Source organism: Homo sapiens, chromosome 6 (assembly GCF_000001405.40).
Source record: "Homo sapiens chromosome 6, GRCh38.p14 Primary Assembly".
Classification (NCBI taxonomy): domain Eukaryota; kingdom Metazoa; phylum Chordata; class Mammalia; order Primates; family Hominidae; genus Homo; species Homo sapiens.
The window spans coordinates 97,137,639-97,157,435 of record NC_000006.12 but is presented as its reverse complement, the minus strand read 5'-3'; the positions used below and the strand labels follow the sequence as shown (position 1 = coordinate 97,157,435).

The 19,797-nt window shown below is 35.2% G+C and overlaps 2 protein-coding genes across 40 annotated transcripts in view; one reads left to right on the top strand and one right to left on the bottom strand.

Annotated features, from left to right (window-relative positions):
- Positions 1–15,275, top strand: part of MMS22L (MMS22 like, DNA repair protein) — a 141,875-nt gene extending 126,600 nt beyond the window's left edge. For 8 of the 19 annotated variants that reach the window (NM_001350600.2, XM_047418577.1, NM_001350599.2 and 5 more), the window contains 3 exons: positions 5,569–5,665; positions 7,416–7,583; positions 10,549–15,275. In NM_001350600.2, coding sequence (NP_001337529.1) covers positions 5,569–5,665; positions 7,416–7,583; positions 10,549–10,630 — 347 coding nt within the window. In that variant the 3' untranslated portion in view covers positions 10,631–15,275. Of the gene's footprint in view, positions 1–5,568; positions 5,666–7,415; positions 7,584–7,815; positions 8,805–10,548 lie in introns of those variants that run through there. The other 11 variants (XM_011535674.4, XM_011535670.3, XM_011535672.4 and 8 more) reach the window with 5 other exon arrangements.
- Positions 15,276–16,682: 1,407 nt separating this feature from the next.
- KLHL32 (kelch like family member 32) overlaps positions 16,683–19,797 on the bottom strand; it is a 242,671-nt gene continuing 239,556 nt past the window's right edge. For all 21 annotated transcript variants that reach the window (NR_136580.2, NR_104421.2, NR_136579.2 and 18 more), the window contains one exon: positions 16,683–18,315. Coding sequence is in view for 18 of the 21 variants with exons in the window: in NM_001323252.2 (NP_001310181.1) it covers positions 18,154–18,315 (162 nt within the window). In the remaining 3 variants the exon portion in view is untranslated. The remainder of the gene's footprint in view (positions 18,316–19,797) is intronic.

Genomic DNA, 19,797 nt, shown 5'->3' with positions numbered 1-19,797 from the left:
CTGAATGGACAAAAACTGGAAACATTCCCTTTGAAAACTGGCATAAGACAAGGATACCCTCTCTCATCACTCCTCTTCAACATAGTGTTGGAAGTTCTGGCCAGGACAGTCAGGCAAGAGAAAGCCATAAAGCGTATTCAGTTAGGAAAAGAGGAAGTCAAATTGTCTTTGTTTGCAGATGACATGATTGTATATTTAGGAAACCCCATCGTCTCAGTCCAAAATCTCCTTAAGCTGATAAGCCACTTCAGCAAAGTCTCAGGATACAAAATCAGTGTGCAGAAATCACAAGCATTCCTATACACCAATAACAGACAGAGAGACAAATCATGAGTGAACTCCCATTCACAATTGCTACAGAGGGAATAAAATACCTAGGCATCTAACTTACACGGGATGTGAAGGACCTCTTCAAGGAGAACTACAAACCACTGCTCAACAAAATAAAATAAAAGAGGACACAAACAAATGGAAGAACATTCCATACTCATGGATAGGAGGAATCAATATCGTGAAAATGGCCATACTCCCCAAAGTATAGATTCAATGCTATTCCCATCAAGCTACCACTGACTTTCTTCACAGAACTGGAAAAAAAACTATTTTAAATTTCATATGGAACCAAAAAAAAGTGTGCATAGCCGAGATAATCCTAAGCAAAAAGAACAAAGCAGGAGGCTACTTTGTCACGCTACCTGACTTCAAACGATACTAGAAGGCTACAGTAATCAAAACAGCATGGTACTGGTACCAACACAGATGTCCAGACCAATGGAACAGAGCAGAGGCCTCAGAAATAACATCACACATCTACAACCATCTGATCTTTGACAAACCTGACACAAGCAATGGGGAAAGGATTCCCTATTGAATAAATGGTGCTGGGAAAACTGGCTAGCCATATTCAGAAAACTGAAACTGGATCCATTCCTTACACCTTACACAAAAATTAACTCAAGATGGATTAAAGACTTAAACGTAAGACCTAAAACCATAAAAACCCTAGAATAAAATCTAGGCAGTATCATTCAGGACATGGGGATGGGCAAAGACTTCATGACTAAAACACCAAAAGCAACGGCAACAAAAGCCAAATATATAAATGGGATCTAATTAAAGAGCTTCTGCATAGCAAAAGAAACTATCAGCAGAGTGAACAGGCAACCTACAGAATGAGAGAAAATTTTTGCAATCCATCTGGCAAAGGGCTAATATCCAGAATCTACAAAGAACTTAAACAAATTTACAAGAAACAAACAACCCCGTCAAAAAATGGGCGAAGGATATGAACAGACACTTCTCAAAAGAAGACATTTATGCAGCCAAAAAACTTACGAAAAAATGCTCATCATCACTGGTCATTAGAGAAATGCAAATCAAAACCACAATGAGATACCATCTCACACCAGTTAGAATGGTGATCATTAAAAAGTCAGGAAACAACAGATGCTGGAGAGGATGTGGAGAAATAGGAACACTTTCACACTGTTGGGAGTGTGAATTAGTTCAACCATTGTGGAAGACAGTGTGGCAATTCCTCAAGGATCTAGAACTAGAAATACCATTTGATGCAACAATCTCATTACTGGGTATATACCCAAAGGATTATAAATCATTCTACTAAAAAGACACATGTACACATATGTTTATTGCAGTACTGTTTACAATAGCGAAGTCTATTGTGAAGTCATCAATACTTGGAACCAACCCAAATGCCCATCAATGATAGACTGAATAAAGAAAATGTGACATATATACACCATGGAATACTATGCAGCCATAAAAAAGGATGAGTTCATGTCCTTTGCAGGGACGTGGGTGAAACTGGAAACCATCATTCTCAGCAAACTAACACAAGAAGAGAAAACCAAACACCGCGTGTTCTCACTTATAAGTGGGAGTTGAACAATGAGTACACATGGACACAGGGAGGGGAACATCACACACCGGGGCCTGTCAGGAGGTGGGGGACTGGGGGAGGGAGAGCATTAGGAGAAATGCCTAATGTAAATGACAAGTTAATGGGTGCAGCAAACCAACATGGCACATGTATACATATGTAACAAACCTGCACGTTGTGCACATGTACCCCAGAACTTATAGTAATAATAACAATTTAAAAATTTGGAAGACTACGTTAAAAAATATTCACTTAATGTAGTAAGAAAACAGTAAAGGAGATTAAAGAAACAAACACGAGTCATTAAGAAAACAAAAAGTAAAATTGCTGATGTAAATCAAACTATATCAGTAATAATACCATGTGAAAGGATTGACCAGTCCAATGAAAAGGCAGAGATGATCACAATGGATTCTTAAAAAAACAAGATCTACCCATATGGTATTTACAGGAAACACTATAGATTCACAGATATAAATAGATTGAAAGTAAAAGGATGGGAAAAGATAGTTGTGCAAACAGCAACCACAGAAAGCTTAAGTGACTATACTAATAGCTCCATATGAATTACTAATTTATATGGAATTACAGGGGACCCAGAATAGCCAAATCAATCTTGGAAAAAGAAGAAGAAAGCTGGAAAACGCATACTTCTTGATTTCAAAACATGTTACAAAGCAACAGTAATCAAGACAGTGTGATAGTGGCATAAAGATAGATATGTAGGTCAATAGAATAGAATTAAGCGTTCAGAGATAAACCCATGTTTATGGTCAACTGGGGTTTTTTTGTTTGTTGACAAGAGTGCCAAGACAATTTAATTGGGGAAAAGTAGTCTTTTCAACAAATTTTGCTAGGTCAGATAGCCACATGCGAAAGAATGAAGTTGGACCCTTGTTTCCTACCACATACGAAAACTAACCTAAAATGAACCATAGACCTAAGTGTCAGAGCTAAAATTGTAAAAGTCATTGAAGAAAATATAGGAAAAAAATCTTCATGACCTCGAATTTGGCAACAGATTCTTAGCTATGGCACTAAAAGCATGAACCACAGAAGAGATAAATTGGACTTCATCAAGAATTAGGAGCTTTTGTGTTTCAAAGGACACTGTTAAGAAAGTGAAAAGACAACCCACAAAATGGGAAAAAATACTTGTAAATTATATGTGATAAGGAGTGTGCATCTATAATATATAAATAACTCTTAAGAATAAGTGGACAAATAACTGAATTTAAAAATTGGCAATGAATCTGAATAGGCATTTCTACAAAGAAAATAAACGGCCAATAAGCACCAGAAAAGGTGTTCAACATCATTAGTCACCAGGGAAATGCATATCAAAACTACCCCGAGATATCACTTCATACCCACAAGGTTGGCTATAATGAGGGAGTCAGATAATGAAAAAGATTGGGGAAGATGTGGAGAAATTGGAACTCTCATTTAATGCCATTGGGAATGTAAAATCATGTTGCTACTTTGGATAATAGTCCAGTAGTTCCTCAAGCGGTTAAATATGGAGTTACTGTATGACCCAGCAATTTCACCCCTAGATATATATATATATTTAAGAGAAATGAACAAATATGTCCACACAGAAACTTGTAAATTAATTTTTATAGCAGTATTGTTTATTATAGCCAAAAAGTAGAATACTCATCGTTTGATGGATCAATTTAAAAATTTTGATATATTTATACAATGGAATATTGTTTGGCTATAAAAAAGCATGAAGTACTGAAACATGCTATAACATTGATGAATCTTGAAAACATTATTCTCAGTGAAAGAAGCCAGTCACAAAAGTCACATATTATTTCATTTATTTGAAATATCCAGAATAGTTAAATCTATAGAGACAGGTCTAGGCATGGTGGCTTACGCCTGTAATTCCTGCAATTTGGGAGGCTGAGGCAGGTGAATCACTTGAGGTCAGGATTTCGAGACCTGCCTGGCCAATACGGTGAAACCACATCTTTTCTAAAAATACAAAATTAGCCGGGCGTGGTGGCATGCACTTGTAATCCCAGTTACTCGGGAGGCTGAGGCAGGAGAATTGCTTGAACCCGGGAGGCAGAGGTTGCAATGAGCTGAGATCATGCCACTGCACTCCAGCCTGGGCAACAGAGGGAGAGTCCGTCTCAAAAAAAAAAAAAAAAAAAAAAAAAGATCTGTAGAGACAGAAAGTAGGTTAAGGGATTGCTTAGAAGGAATCGGGATAGCTAAAGAGTGTGGAATTTCTTTTCAAGATATTGAAAATATTGTAAAATTGTGATGATGGTTGTACAACTCTGAATATACTAAAAGCCATCGAACAGTATACTTTAAATGGGTAAACTATATAGTATGTGAATTATATGACAATAAAGCTCTTCTTTTAAGAAATAAAAAGGCCAGGTGTGGTGGCTCACACATGTAATCCCAGTGCTTTGGGACGCCAAGGTGGGAGGATCACTTGAGACTAGGAGTTCGAGGCCAGCCTGGGCAACATAGCGAGACCTCCATCTCTACAAAAAGCTTTTTTAAAAAATTAGCCAGGCATGCTGGCATGCACCTGTAGTCCTAGCTACTTGAGAGGCTGAGGTGGGAGGATGGCTTGAGCCCAGGAGATGGAAGTTAGAGTGAGCTATCATCACACCACTTCTCTAGCCTGGGTGACAGAGCAAGACTCTGCCTCTTAAAAAAAAAAAAAAGAAAATACTCATTTTTTTTAAAAAAAAAAAGGTAGTTCAGTTAAAGAAAAAAGAAACTGCATCTAAAATGAGAAGTTATTTTAAAAAGTTGTAAAAAGTTTTCAAGTAAAAGGCAAGGATGCTGTGTGTTCCTTAGCCACGAGCCTCATCGCATGGAAAACATTCTCTACTACCTAATATTCATTATGTTCATGTTCATCATATATTTTGTGCTCCTGCTATAATTTAGGGTTACAGTTTCTGAACTTTTTTTTATTCTTGGAAAAAGCACTTTTTTCTCTGGTTTCTTATATTTAATGTGTCAAAAACAACATAAGAATTTAGTAGCATTCAGAACATATTGGGTTTTCTACATCCTTTCTTGGTATTTTTGCATTATTTTTGTGTACAAGCACACAATTTTAAAGGATTTAGTTAAATATTTAAAGAATGTAAGTATTCTTTTTATACTTTATTATCCTTTGAAAGGAAGATAGCATCACAAACAACATTTTGCATACATATTTGGCTAATTTTAAGTGAAAAGAAATTGTTCACGGTATCTAGTTTGCTACTTACATGTTTGTGAGGGGGTGGGAGGAATATGCTTATGAATTTTTAAAAAATCAATCTGCCTGTCTGTAAATCAGCTGAATTTGTAAAGGCTTTCTTTTGTCGGTATGTTACTGTTTGTAGGATTAGGATGGTGTAACTTTTTTGAATATGGGCACCTTTCTAAGAGAAAAATAGGTCTTCATGTATTATTTCAGACTAAAAAGTAGACTTTTAAACTTTTATATTTTCTTAAAATGGAAGATAGGTATACTTTAGAATAAAACAAAAACTTAGAACTATTTCATTTTGAAAAATAGAAAAAGGATGTACATACTTTAAGAAAACAACATATTTTTCTAAATCAAGAGTGTTCATAAAAATGAGGATCCAGATGGTCAATTCAGACACAGTGCCTAATGCTGTAATTTTTCCTTCTAGTTAAAAGGCTGGCCACAGAGAACCTGCAATACATGGTAAAAGCCTGCCAAGTGGGGTCAGAAGAAGAACCTTCCTCCCAGCTGACTTCTGTGTTTAGGTAACTGGAAAATATGCCACCTGGCAAGGAAACTATTGCCAGCCATTTGACAGCCAACATGTTTTTTAAATAACTAATTATCCAAAACATAATGTGTTACTACTTGTTTATAGTATTTCAATTATTGTATTTTTGGCAGTAGTTTTGTTACACTGTGATGTTTTATTGAAAAATAAAAGTGCCAGTGAAAAAGATAAGTGAGGGGACTTAAAATTACCTGTGAATTTAGTGAGGAAGAATCTTGCATGAACAGTCATGTGTCTCTTAACGATAGGGATAAGTTCTGAGAAATGTATAGTTAGCCAGTTTCACCATTGTGTGACCATCAAATAGAGTGTACTTATACAAACCTAGGTGCTATAGCCCACTCTGCACCTAAGCTATATGGTATGGCCTAATGGTCCTAGGCTGCAAATCAGTATAACATGTCTCTGCACTGAATGCTGTAGGCAGTTGTAACACAGTGGTAAATATTTGTGTATCTAAATGTATCCAAACATAGAAAAGGTACAGTAAAAATGCAGTATTTTAATCTTATTGTACTGAACTACCATTGTACATGCTATCTGTCATTGACTGAAATGTCATTACGTGGTCCTAGACTGGGTTTGAGAGAGTAAAGTGGGAAATGTGAGTCATGATGACAGGTACACAGGCCTTCAGACCTTGCTAAACATGTTCCGCTGGATCCATTGTAGAAGTACATGTCACTGCTTTTCTGACTTGCTTTAGTATACTAACTGTAGCTTCAGAAAGCTCCGTTATGTTTAATTTGTGAAGCATGGACTTTATAGAAGTAGATCTATTGTTCATAAGAATAACAGTGCAACTTGAGGCATATTTTCTTTTTCTTCCCTGTCTTGTTCCCTTTAGAGTCTTGTGCTGTTAGGGCAATACGTTTTTGTATTTCTTTCTGAAGATTTCTTCCAGTTCACCTTTATTATTCCTATCTCTGCCTTACCACTACCATGAGAAATAATTTGCGTTCGTTTCCTTCATTCTATGTTGGATCTTTGATACCTCCATTTTTCTCATCACATAATTAGTGCCTGTCAAGTGTTTATAGTTTATTTAAATTGTGATCAGTCAGTAACAATGGATTTGTGAAAATTGTGAAGCCCTAGGAGGGGAGAAAAGGATTTTCTATGATCAAAGATTGAATGTTATCTATAATTTACTAAGCGAGGTGGCTTTTCATTTTGTTGATTGGTAGTGGAGGGTAGAGGTTTTAAGGCTAAATATAGAATTTTTATTTATAAAGACCTTCTATGGGTCTAAAGTCTTTTATTCAGTTAAGGAACATAAAATATATTAGGAATAACTTGCTTTCCTCATAAAAATATTGTTTGACTTATATAGAGCTACAAAGAACTAAAAAATAACTAGGAAATCTGACTTTTTTCTGTTACTGTCTCCCATATCCTTTCCACTCAGATTCAATATGTAGAATATTGCAAAAAAGTCCCGGGATTAGATTTTTACCCCTTCTTCTCCCTCCCAAGCTTCCAACTCTTCCCTTCCCTGCTCCTCCCCACAGTGCTTTCACTCTGGTCATGGCTCAACTTAAATAAGCCACTTCAATTCTTTATTTTAAAGTGTTTTAAATAGTTTTCATATTGCATCCAGATTCTTACAGTAAACTTTTATGAAATGATCTTTGTTATGTTCAGTTCATAGTTGATTGCCACGTAGATACCAACACAAGGAATTGCCCCAGGAGTAATCCTAAATAAACCTGTTTTACTTTCAGGCAGTTTATCCAGGATTATGGTATGAGGTACTATTACCAGGTTTACAGCATTTTAGAAACAGTAGCAACATTGGACCAGCAGGTTGTCATCCACTTGATTTCTACCCTTACTCAGTCTCTGAAGGATTCAGAGCAGAAATGGGGCCTTGGCAGGAATATAGCACAAAGGTATGTTTGATAATTTAATTACATTGGGGGGGGCAGTGATTATAAAATTTATATTTCATTTTATAGAAATGATTTATTTTCTTATTCCCCAAAATTTGGGTATGTTCTTTTGAGATGAAAAATGTTTCAGTACTGTGATTATCAGTTTTACAAAGTGTGAATAGAAGTAGCATGGCTCATCAGCAAACTTAGCAAAATCAATACATAAATTTGCATGTTTTTCCTTTCAAAGTGACCGCTTTAGAAAGCTGTATATTTCAGCAGTGCTGCTGTTGCTCAAAACGCATTTCAGTGTTCCTCATTGGGAAGTGGACTTCATAGCCTTGGATGTCTTGTTTTTTAATAAAATTTATGGTGGCAAATCATAACCGTTTGAGGGATGCTTGATTTATTTAGTCAACTGTATCATGTGTATCTAGTGAATAAGTGACCCAATTAGACAGTATAGGTTTTGGTCAAAAATAGGAAATAAGACTTTTTTTTAATAGGCTCATAACTCAACTGAAAATAGTGCTGGACTATTTAGAGTCTCAACATTGTGGGAATAAGCCTATATTTATTTCTTAAAGAAATTGTTTTAGAGTAGTCAGTACTCACAGTGGAATTTTTGTGTCCTAAAGGTTATTAAAGAATCAAAATACAGTTATGTGTTGCTTAACGACAGGGATAAGTTCTAAGAAATGTGTAGTTAGGCGATTTCATCATTTGTGAACATCAAATAGAGTATATTTACACAAACCTAGATGGAATAGCCTATACCACACACCTAGGCAATGTGGTGTGGCCTATTGCTCCTAGGCTACAAACTTGTATAACATGTTACTGTAGTGAATACTATAGACAGTTGTAACTTATGGTAAGTATTTGTGTATCTAAATATATGAAAACATAGTACAGTAATTATATGGTAGCAAAGATTTTAAAATGGTATACCTATATAGGGCACTTACCGTGAGTGCAGCTTGCAGGACTAGTAGTTGCTCTGGGTGGGTCGGCGAGTGAGTGGTGATAAATGTGAAGGCCTAGGCCATTACTGTACACTATTGTAGTAGACATTATAAACATAATACATTTAGAGTACATTAGTTATTTCTAAAATTTTTAGTTTTTCAATAATACATTAACCTTAGCTTACTCTTTTTTACCTTTTAAACTTTTTCTTTTTTTAACTTTTTTACTCTTGTAAAAAAGCTTAACACACACATTGTATAGCTGTACAAAAATATTTTCTTTCTTTATATTCTTGAATAAGCTTTTTTCTATTTTTAAATTATTTTTTATTTTTAAACTATTTTGTAAAAAATGAAGACACACACGCATTAGCCTGAGCCTACACAGGGTCAGGATGATCAACATCACTGTCTTCCACCTCTACATCTTACTTCACTGGAAGGTCTTCAGGGTCAGTAACGCACATGGAGCTGTCGTCTCCTGCAATAAGGAAGCCTTCTTCTGGAATACCTCCTGAAGGACCTGCCTGAGTCTGTTTTACAGTTAACTTTTATTTTTATAAGTATAAAGAGGAGTACACTCTAAAATAACAATAAAAAGTAAAGTATAGTAAATACATAAACCAGTAACATTCTTTCTTATTATCAAGTATTATATACTATGTATAGTTGTGTGTGCTAGACTTTTATATGACTGACAGTACAATAGGTTTGTTTATACCTGCATCACCACAAACAACACGAGTAAGGCATTACACTAAGACATTACAATGGCTACAACATCACCAGGCATTAGGAATTTTTCAGTACCATTATAATCTTAATGGGATCCATCATTGACCAAAATGCAGCCCATCATTGACCAAAATGTTTTTAATGTAGTGCATGACTATAATCATATGCATGTGTGTCTGTTTATCTGTACAAATACACACTCTAATGAATATGCATATTCCAATTTTTAGACAAAAATTTTTTATTAAACAATATATGAGATCTTTCTTGAAGACATGACTATGTTGATTATAGCTTTAGCTAACTAATGGAATCCATTTTTTCAATGCCATTTCATATAAAAGGCAGGGGGTGCGGACTGGAGAGATCATCCTTGTAAAGCTTTTGTATGCCAGAATGGAACATCTCCTTTCTTCTGCATGGTGACTTGGCTAGCCTCCTGTGGTTTTCTAAGGAGAGAAGATTGAATCACTTCAAATTGTAGCTTGAAGAAATGGTGTTTATTGTCATGTCACAAAACAAGCTCATGCACAGACATGTCTCACATCTGGCTTCTCTGAGCAGTCTTCAAATTTGAGTGAAAAAACTAGAGAGGCTGTGTGTGAACCACCCTAATGCAGTATGTTGTTAAAACAAATATTCTGGCCTACTACCTTGTGTGGTTATGCAGGCCCATAAGAAGTTTGGTTCTAAAGATTCTGAACAGAACAGGTATTTAGACTAGTGAGATAACTACTAGGCACAATAAATCATCTAAAACACCTTCCAAATACAGGGAAGTACTAGAGAATGTAGGAGGAGAAACAATATTTTATTTTCAAACTTTGTTACTTATAAGAAGTTAAAAGAAGAAAATGGGATATATACTGAAATTGCTACACAGGTCTATTTTATGGTTACAGAATTTTTGTTTTAATACTTACGCTTGTGATACAAGTCTTCCCATTGTAATCATACCATCATTGTCCTTAAATAATATTCCATGAATGCATTTTATTACCCGTGAGCATTATAATATTTCGGAAGGTTAATGAACTTTTACATGTCATTTTTAGCACACATTTTATATATAAAAATCATACTTTAATACATCTTAACATCTAGGTTTACTCACAATAGATATAAAGCATTACTTTTTAAGAAGTGTTGTGCTAAGCCTGCTGGATGGATGGCTGAATAGATGGATGGATGGATGATGGGCAGACTTAATTTGTAAATACTGAAATGAAAAATAATGAAAATGTTAATATATTTGCTTTCTTTTCTTTTTTCTTAAACAGGGAAGCCTATAGCAAACTTTTGTCTCACCTTGGACAGATGGGACAAGATGAGATGCAGAGACTGGAAAATGATAATACTTAATATATTTTGTGATTCATCCTGTCTATTAATTATCAGTATCTAAAGCCACATTGTTCCACTCTAATTCCTACTTTTAATTAATTGTATAATGTTCTGTTTAAAATAATTTCTAGGATTTTTTTTCCTTTTATATCTGTAAGTAAAAAATGTATAAATAAGGAACTGAAGGTTAATTAGCAACTGTGTAATAGGATCCTTGGAACTTTTTACAAAACTGCATTCTACCTTGATGAAATTTTAGTTAAACTAAATTAAAGAAACATTTTCTGAGAGTGTTTTCTGTGTGTGAGTATTAAGCAGATACTTCATCCATAGACTTTTTGTTGTAGTATGACTTCCTGCCTCCCTGCCTTGTGACTGATTTGTCATGTTTATTTTTTATTTTTACAATAATAGTTATGTTTTAAAATGATACTTTTTCAAAGTACCTGGCTACCCTATACTGTGTTTTTGGTGGGGGAAAGGTGTTGGGAAATGTGACTGTGTATTTGTTTTTCTTTTTTATATGTGTGAGGCAAGTTAACAAAGAAAACCCTTACAAAGCACACTTAACTGTGTTAGGAATGAGACTGAATCTGGCTAAAGGATTATACAGCTGATATCCAAAAAGAAGTGTAAACATGCCAACAGGGTTTATATTTAGGTTCCAAGAGTTGCCAAATTTTTTTTTTATTCATCCTTTCTTTTGGAGTTGTCATTAAAAAAAAAATCATATCAGGAGGAGGAAATAAAGGAGACTTTAAGAGGAGAGTAAATAAAAATATTCTAGAAAAGTAACAATAGTAGTGGTCTGAGAAGTCAGCTGATCCATCTTCTTGCTCTTTAGCCAGAGCTTCTTATAACTTAGCATTTTATCCAAGAAACCTGTTTAGTTTCCTTTAACAACATTGTTTCTCAACTTTTGAACTCTTAACTCATCCAGATTGTTTTACCAGTTGGAGCTTGTCCTTGACTCCTTTTCCTATTGAGCATTATTTGGTTGAAAGAGCTCCAGTCCTAGTTTTGGGAACCCACCTGGGTCTCAAACTCAGCTTTGCTTTATGATCTTGAGCTAGTTACGTAACCTTTCTCAGTCTAGTTTCTTCATGGAGAAGAAAAGAAGAATCCCTTTACTATTTGACAGTGTTGTTGTGAGAATCAATGGGATAATGTACGTGAAAATATTTGGTGGCCCAAATTCTGTTGGGAAATGTACAGACACGATTAGTTTATTACTCGTGCACAATTAAGGCAAAGAACACCTCTCAATTTTATCTTTCTCTAATGATATGTCCCAGATGAATGATCCCACTTTCCAATGTTTTCTTACATCATGTTTTCTAACTTTGAAGTACTTTGTTTCCTTCTTGGGATTATAGTCTTTATCATGGTTCTACTCTTCCTTCAAGAAAACATTTCAACCCTTCTCTGGCTCAAGGAGTATCTTTAAAAATGAAATACTTTGCAATCAGTATTCTGTAGTTAATAGCGTTCTCTTAATTATAATCTGTGAAATCCAAAGGAGTGTCTGTTATTTTCATAACATATAAATGGTCCTTCTCTCAAATCAGCTTCATCAAAGGGAATAAATGAAAGCTTAAGGCTGTTTAATAGACTTCATAACACTGAATTTCTTTTCATCATGATAGTGACTTACTAAACAAATAATGTATGGCTTGGAAAGTTCCAGCAGTCACTAAGGAGTTTTATCTATTTAAGGTGATGCCTTTAAAGAGGTTATTTATGTGTATATGTGTTTTTGTGTGTGTGTGTGTGTGTGTGTGTGTGTGTGTGTGTGTGTGGGTTTTTTTTTTCCAAAGGAGATTGATAAAGATACCTTTGAGAATCTTGCTCCTTAGAGTATGAAAACGTTTAAAGGATAGGAAAAGCTGCTACTGAATCATGCTTTAGGACATATATCTATAGATACTAAGAATAACTAAAATTTGTACTTAAGAATGGTAACAACAAAGTGTGTAACAATATGTGTGTGTATTATATGTTTTGTATTTATGTATAAGTAACTTTTTTTAAAGCTTTTTTTTAAATTGAAAAAAGAAGAAAATTTATGGCTCAGTTCCTTTTTTTTAAAATCTTCACTGATCCTTCACTTATTACTACAATCTTGCCCTCTTTCATTCCCAGACTTGGAGTCCCTTATACCTGCTTCTTTAATAGCCACTTTCCCTAAATACCCTGTAATTTCTGAGGCTGCTGCTTCTACCAGTGTAATACAAGCCATTGTCTTTTGGTCAAATCTGAGTTTGTTCTCCTTTCTCATGTTCTTTGTCCTCTCTGTGACAATTGTATTTTCTTTTATCTTCCCATCATTTCCACAATGGTACTGCTCCTTCCTACATATACAGTTGACCCTTGAGCAACACAAGTTTGAACTGTGCAGGTCCACTTATATGTGGATCTAAAATACAGTATTTGTGGGATGCAAAATCTGAGTATATGGAGGACCAACTTTTTGTAGAGGCAGGTTCCTCAGGGTTAACTGCAGGACTTGAGTAAGTGCAGATTATGGTATGCACAGGGGATCCTGGAACCAGTCCCCAGACCAAAAATGACCACTGTATCTTGAGAGCACCTTCATGGTCTTCTTTCCTGTCCCCAGTCGTAAGATACGACCCTTCATCTGCTTTGTCTCAACATTCTGTTAGTGGTGAACTGATAACTCCAGCTTTTCTCTCTCTTTTTTTTTTTTTTTTTTTTTTTGTTGTTGTTGTTGTTGTTGTTTTGAGGCAGAGTCTTGCTCTGTCGCCCAGGCTGGAGTGCAGTGGCACGATCTCGGCTCACTGCAAGCTCTGCCTCCCGGGTTCACGCCATTCTCCTGCCTCAGCCTCCCAAGTAGCTGGGACTACAGGTGCCCGCCACCACGCCCGGCTAATTTTTTTTGTATTTTTAGTAGAGACGGGGTTTCACCATGTTGGGCTCGATCTCCTGACCTCATGATCCGCCCGCCTCGGCCTCCCAAAGTGCTGGGATTACAGGCGTGATGAGCCACCTAGTGCTAATTCATCTCTAAACCTCTGTAGTTGGAGTCTCCTGAAATCTCAGACTACCTCCTGCTTTCATTTTCTACCCAGGGAATACACTATTGTCCTAAGTTATTTAGCCTTGAAATGTCAGAGGCATTTTAGGTTCTTCATGTTTCTCCCACTTTCAGTTGATTACCATTACAGGATCTTAGGCTTCTTTTTATCTTTTTGCAGTGCCTTGCATCCACTGGTTGTTTGTTTTTTCTGTTGGGCACTACTTATTTCCTTACCTCTGGTTTCTTCTCCTACAGCTTATGTTCTGAAATGTGTATTCCTAAAATACTGTTTTCCTCTTGTTACTTTTCTGCTCGAGGACTTCCAGTAACTTACCATTGTTTATAAGGTGATGTTCAAACCCTTCAGTCTGGAGACTTTCTGCCACCTATCTGACTGTACCTTTATCTTCAAGCTTATCTCTTTCCAAACAAGAGGCTCATTTAGCAGCTTTCTCTGATTGCCATGTTCATCCTACACTCAGCCTCATTCAGTTTACAGCATGGAAACTGTATAGGACCTCTTTCCTATAGAAATTGAAGACACTTAAATAGGAAGAAAATTAAAATATACATTTGGATACATGAGTATTCCAGTCAAATAATATCTATAAAATACCAGATAGAGTATAAAAGACAACTGAAGGACAACAGAGTGATGAAAGGACTTTATTAGGCATTTGGATTTGGTTATGATTTAAATTTCAATTTAATTAGAACGTTTCCATGGCAAGGAAGGAAGCATGGAGGACTGTGGAAAAGTCATTCAGTATTGAGTTCATTTGCATTAGAGGAATTTCATAGTTTAAAACTTGTATATCTTTACCTATCCTTCGTATGTTTTCTTCTTAAGCATATTTGACTTTTTCTACCTCAGCATCTGTATAAGAAAATATTTGTGAGTCAGATGTTTGTGGGTTTTCCTTACCTATTATTATTTTCTTCCATGCTTTACAACACATTTTTTAAACTACCTTGTTCTTAAATAATTACACGGACCTGCTTCTGTGTACTTTCACAGAATCTTTGACAGTTAAAAATTGTATGTTATATAAAAATTTGACAAGCTTCTACAGTTAGGAAAAGCCTTTAGAAATCTGCCTTCCCCAAACCGTATGTTATCATAGCACTCATGTCTCCCCATGTCTAAAAGGTAAATAGATACAGAAACCTCACCAAAAGTTGAATCATCTGTACTAAACCACTGCTTTTTTATCCAGACTTTTTATATAAATCTTTTATTTTCCAAAAAACTGATCTTTTACCTACCCCTCTTAGAGTTAAAAATATTGCCTGTCAGGCAAGAGTATAGTATGCCAATATAAATAATATGCTTTATTTGGTTAGAAACAGTTGGTTTGGGAAGCTAGCAACATAGCATATTCTTTACAAATTTAATAAGGTGTATTTTGATACTGTGATAACCTGCATTGTAAATTACCAAATGGTTGGAATTGACCAGTTTATACTTATTAAAATTTTTGATGTGCCAATGGCTATCCAATTCATTGCATTTGTGAATTGTGCTTTTAGAAAAATTGTGGACATTTTAGTTTTATATACATATTTATGAGTTATTTGTGCATATGATAAAATTATATATAATAATAAAAGTATATATGTAACTTACATTGTGCCCTTGATTATTGAAAACTTCCTTTTTATAACAGATTCACTGTTTGGAAGCTAAAGTAAAAATGAGCCATGTTACCAGAAGTAATAATTTCTATCTTATTACTGATGTTTTTATACTTTGTGGTAAAACTATGGAAAGTTAGGTTTTCAGATGCTGTGGTAGCTGAAAGAGTTTGATGTACATGTGGTTAAAGTGTGAAGAAAATATGAAGGAAAAAGTATGAAAAGTACCCTAGTCATTACCTAATTGCTATTTTGTTTTTAAGGATCTAAGAAGTGTTATTGCATTGTACAGATTATTTTAGAAATTCACATCTTTGCTGGCTTTTCCTTTAACACCAAGAATATCTGTTATCATCTGTTTGGTACTGTGTTTTGTTTCCTCTTTTAAAGTAAAATATTGAAGTGATATTTAAATGTTTGCAAGTCTCATGACCTTCCTATAGAAATTCACATTAGTATAATAATTTACATTACAAATACAATATAGCCTTTAATTTTGAAGAGTAAAAATGGAAATGGAAGATGAATTACTATAGTGTAGTTCACTTAAATCGAAAATGTATATTTGAATAGTTTCAGTGAAATTTGGCTCATATGACCATAGTTTAATAGAATTCTTATTTCTATTATTGATAACCTTGAATAAAAGGATCTAATTATAAGTTATCTAGGTTTTTTCCCTTTTAGGGAAGAGATGTTATGTTTTTGTACTACTCTTGGCTATAGCTGTAAAGGATGTGTCTGAACCTGGTAAAACTTTTTAAAATTCTGAGTTCAGTTCTGTAATATTAATGAATATTACATTATAAAGATCACTTAGGAGGGGTTTAATATATGCTGATTTGTTTTATATGAATTGTTAGAAATATATACAGAAATAAGGGTAGTTTCAGGCTACCTTTCAGGCTATTATTAGTTGGGCAAGCTTATTTTTAGAGCTTTTCCCTTTCATTGGTTGGATGTAGGGCCTGGGAATACAAATAGATTTTAATAGTTTTACTAGGTAAAACTGCTAGAGAGAAAATTCATGTCCCAAGTAGAAAAATTAATATAGCTGAATACTTAAGTCCTTGTTGAAAAGTTTTCTGAAATACTGGAGTTCATTTTCCTGCCTTGGTAAGGCATTTTTAAAATTTAGTTTAGATGGCTTAAACCATTTAAAGAAGCTGTCTTCATTGTAAATATCAATTGTCAATATCAATTTTCACTGTTCAGAACTGTCCAAATACTCTTAAGGTTTGTCTATACTAAATTCCTATTCTTTTTAAAATTTACCTGTTTTCCTTCTCCCTAGTCCCCTTTCCTGCCCTTTAAATCTGAATAACCAGAAGCCATATATTCAATGTTTTATGTATTTTCAATGTTTTGTGTATAACGATATATGAAGTTAGTGAATTCTGTAAGACAAAAAGATCGTTTTTATTCACTTTTGATTACAAAAAAAGGTTACATGAATAAAATAACAATTTCCTTTAAGAGAGGGATTCCTGAATGATTAAACTGCCAAGGAAAAAAGAGTGAATTCTTCCTTTTAATAAAGGTGACCTAGGTCCTGAGGAAGTTAGGAAAAAAGAAAAACTCACATTATACTTGTTAAATTTGTTTTCAAATGTGATTATTAAGTTGTTGTATTTATTTTTTGTTATAGACAAAGCAAACCCAAAAACTAGTCTAAAAAAGAATTCCTATGCATTATTAAAAGAGATAGTAATAAAATATGTATTGGTGGTGAAGAATTCCACAAGCACTCAAGATTGACATAACCTTTAACAAAGTGGAAAAACTTTTATTAGAACTGCCAATTCTAGGTTCAAATTTATGTCAAAGCACTTTATGGTACCATAATTAGTACAACTAAATTATTTTTTAGCTTTAAATGTCATTTTTCACTAAATGATTTTAAATAAGACATCTGAGAGTTACTTGAGGCAAGTTTAGATACCTGTACAAGTTTAGATTTTGAGAAACTCCCTATTTCCTCATTGTGTGTCTCTTTCACATGCTTTTTAGAATCATTTATTCCACAACATGTTTCCAAATTCTATCTAGTAATTTTTAAACTTCAAAAATAATCTCCCTGTTCAATTACAAGGTTCTAAAGACAATAAAATACCTTATAATTTCAGTAACAACATTTTTCTTTTTCTTGGGCAAAGTATTACAAAGTGTTCGCCTAATCCTCATAATGTTCTTTTAAATTAACGTGGAAATCAGTAATTATCCTCCTTAAAAGGTGGGAAAACTGAAGCACTGTAAAGTTAGGTTCTGACCCAAGGTCAGAGTAACCAAGGTGAAAAATCTGGGTATTTCAACAACTGCTGTTCCAGTGTATGTCTATTATTATTCGTATCACCTTGAATAAAATATGGCATTTAAAAATTTATGATGTCATAATGCTGAGTGAGTCTCTACTGAGCAGGGCTGCATAATGTTAAATTTTAAAAAGAAAAATTACAAGCCCGGCTTTAAATAATAAAGGGATTAAGTACAGAATATATATATTTTTAAGATCATCGATGCCATTGTGTCCAATAAATTGCCTTACTAACAGTGTTATGTTGTCTTAAGACAGTGCTGATTAGAAAAAGTGTACAAAGAATGCTCTAAAGACCCATGGAACACAATATACCTTAAATTGGCACTAAGCTATACCACAATAAAAGTCATACATATTGAATGTTGACATACACTGAGAAGGGTGACGAGTTTTCAATAACGTATTTTAGAAAATTGTTCATTTTTTGCTTAAATTTATCCGAATATAAGACCTATAAAGCAAGACAAGGAAGCATGGAGCACTGAGTCTTTTCATGCCCAGTATCCAACAGTCAGAGCTATGTTTTCCTCCTGTTCATGATGGCTTGGCTTTTCAGATGGTGCCAATCCTGTGATGAGGCACTTGAAGAGTTTGAAGGTTAGGGCATGTAAAATATGGAGCTGGAAGGAAGCATGCTGCTATTCCATTGGAAGCAAAAGGGAGTGTAGGCCCATAGAATACTTCTTCTTTGCCTTCTCTGCTTACATCCAGTACCTACAAAAGAGGAAGAGAAGAAGCTTGTGTATCAAAGATGACTGCTCAAAATAAAGCTATGTATACATAAAAGAAATTCTGAACTTAAATTCAGTTATGTCACCATCACCATATCTTAGGAATTCTTTTTCTTGCTTGGATGGTACTAGAAATATTTATTAAGCTCCTACTAAATGCTACACTATGTTAGTATGTTTTTGGATGTACATATATACATACATGTATATTTATAAGCATTTAATCTTCAGAACAATTATGAGGTAGGTAGCATTACTTCATTTAAGAAAACTGCCTTAGACAAGTTAAATAACTTGCCCAAACTAGTTAGTAGGCAGTCTGACATAATGTTGGCTTAAACATCCTCATCTGTGAAATGAAGAAAACAAGACCTTGCAGCTTTGTTGTGAAAATTGATGACATCTAGCTCAGTGTCTGGCAGGTAGTGGAATATAACACAGCTTAGTAGCAAATTCAAAATTCAGTCGATTCTGGAAGGTTTTCCCCAGTTCTTTCCTGTTCATGCTGGAGTTTTTTTGTTTGTTTTGTTTGTTTTTGGGGTTTTTTTGTTGTTTTTGTTTTTGTTTTTGTTTTGAGACAGGGTCTTGCTCTGTCACCTAGGCTGGAGTGCAGTGGTGCTCACTGTAGCCTTGATCTCTTGGGCTCAAGCAATCCTCCTGCCTCACCCTCCTGAGTGGCCAGGACCACAGGTGCACACCACCACGCCTAGCTAATCTGTAAATTTTCTGTAGTGATGGGCTCTCGCCATGTTGTGCAGCCTGCTCTCAAACTCCTGGGCTCAAGCAATCCTTCCACCTCAGCCTCCCGAAGTGCTGGGATTATAAGTGTAAGCCACTGTGCCTGGCCTCTCTCTTCTTATATAGCACAGCCTCTGTTAGTCAGTGCCTGCTGTCTCCTAACTGAACCTGGCTGAATCTTTGAAGCAGGAAAATTCTTTCTTCAGGAGAGCTGCTCTCGCCCCATTTGTCAAACCTATTAGGCTCTTTCAAGTCTGCAGTTATCATCTTGATCCCTTTTCATTTGACTTTTCTCTAACTATTTAAACATTTGCCTCCCGTGGATTTGGTGTTTTAAAAAAATGAAAGTTTGTCATTGACATTATCATATTGCAATCCACCTTGAGTCCCTTTTCCTTCATCTGCATCCTGGACGTAGGTGTTTCCCAATATTTCAATCACAGACCTCTTTGTACGCGTCTTTAATGATCTAGTCCACTCTCATGCCTTCATCTATCACCTGTGTGGATAAATCTTAAGACTTTAACTGCAATAGGCTGGGCGCGGTGGCTGATGCCTGTAATCTCAGGACTTCGGGAGTCAGGCAGGTGGATCACGAGCCCAGGAGATCGAGACCATCCTGGCTAACATGGTGAAACCCTGTCTCTACTAAAAATACAAAAAATTAGCCAGGCGTGGTGGCGGCTGCCTGTAGTCCCAGCTACTCGGGAGGCTGAGGCAGGAGAAT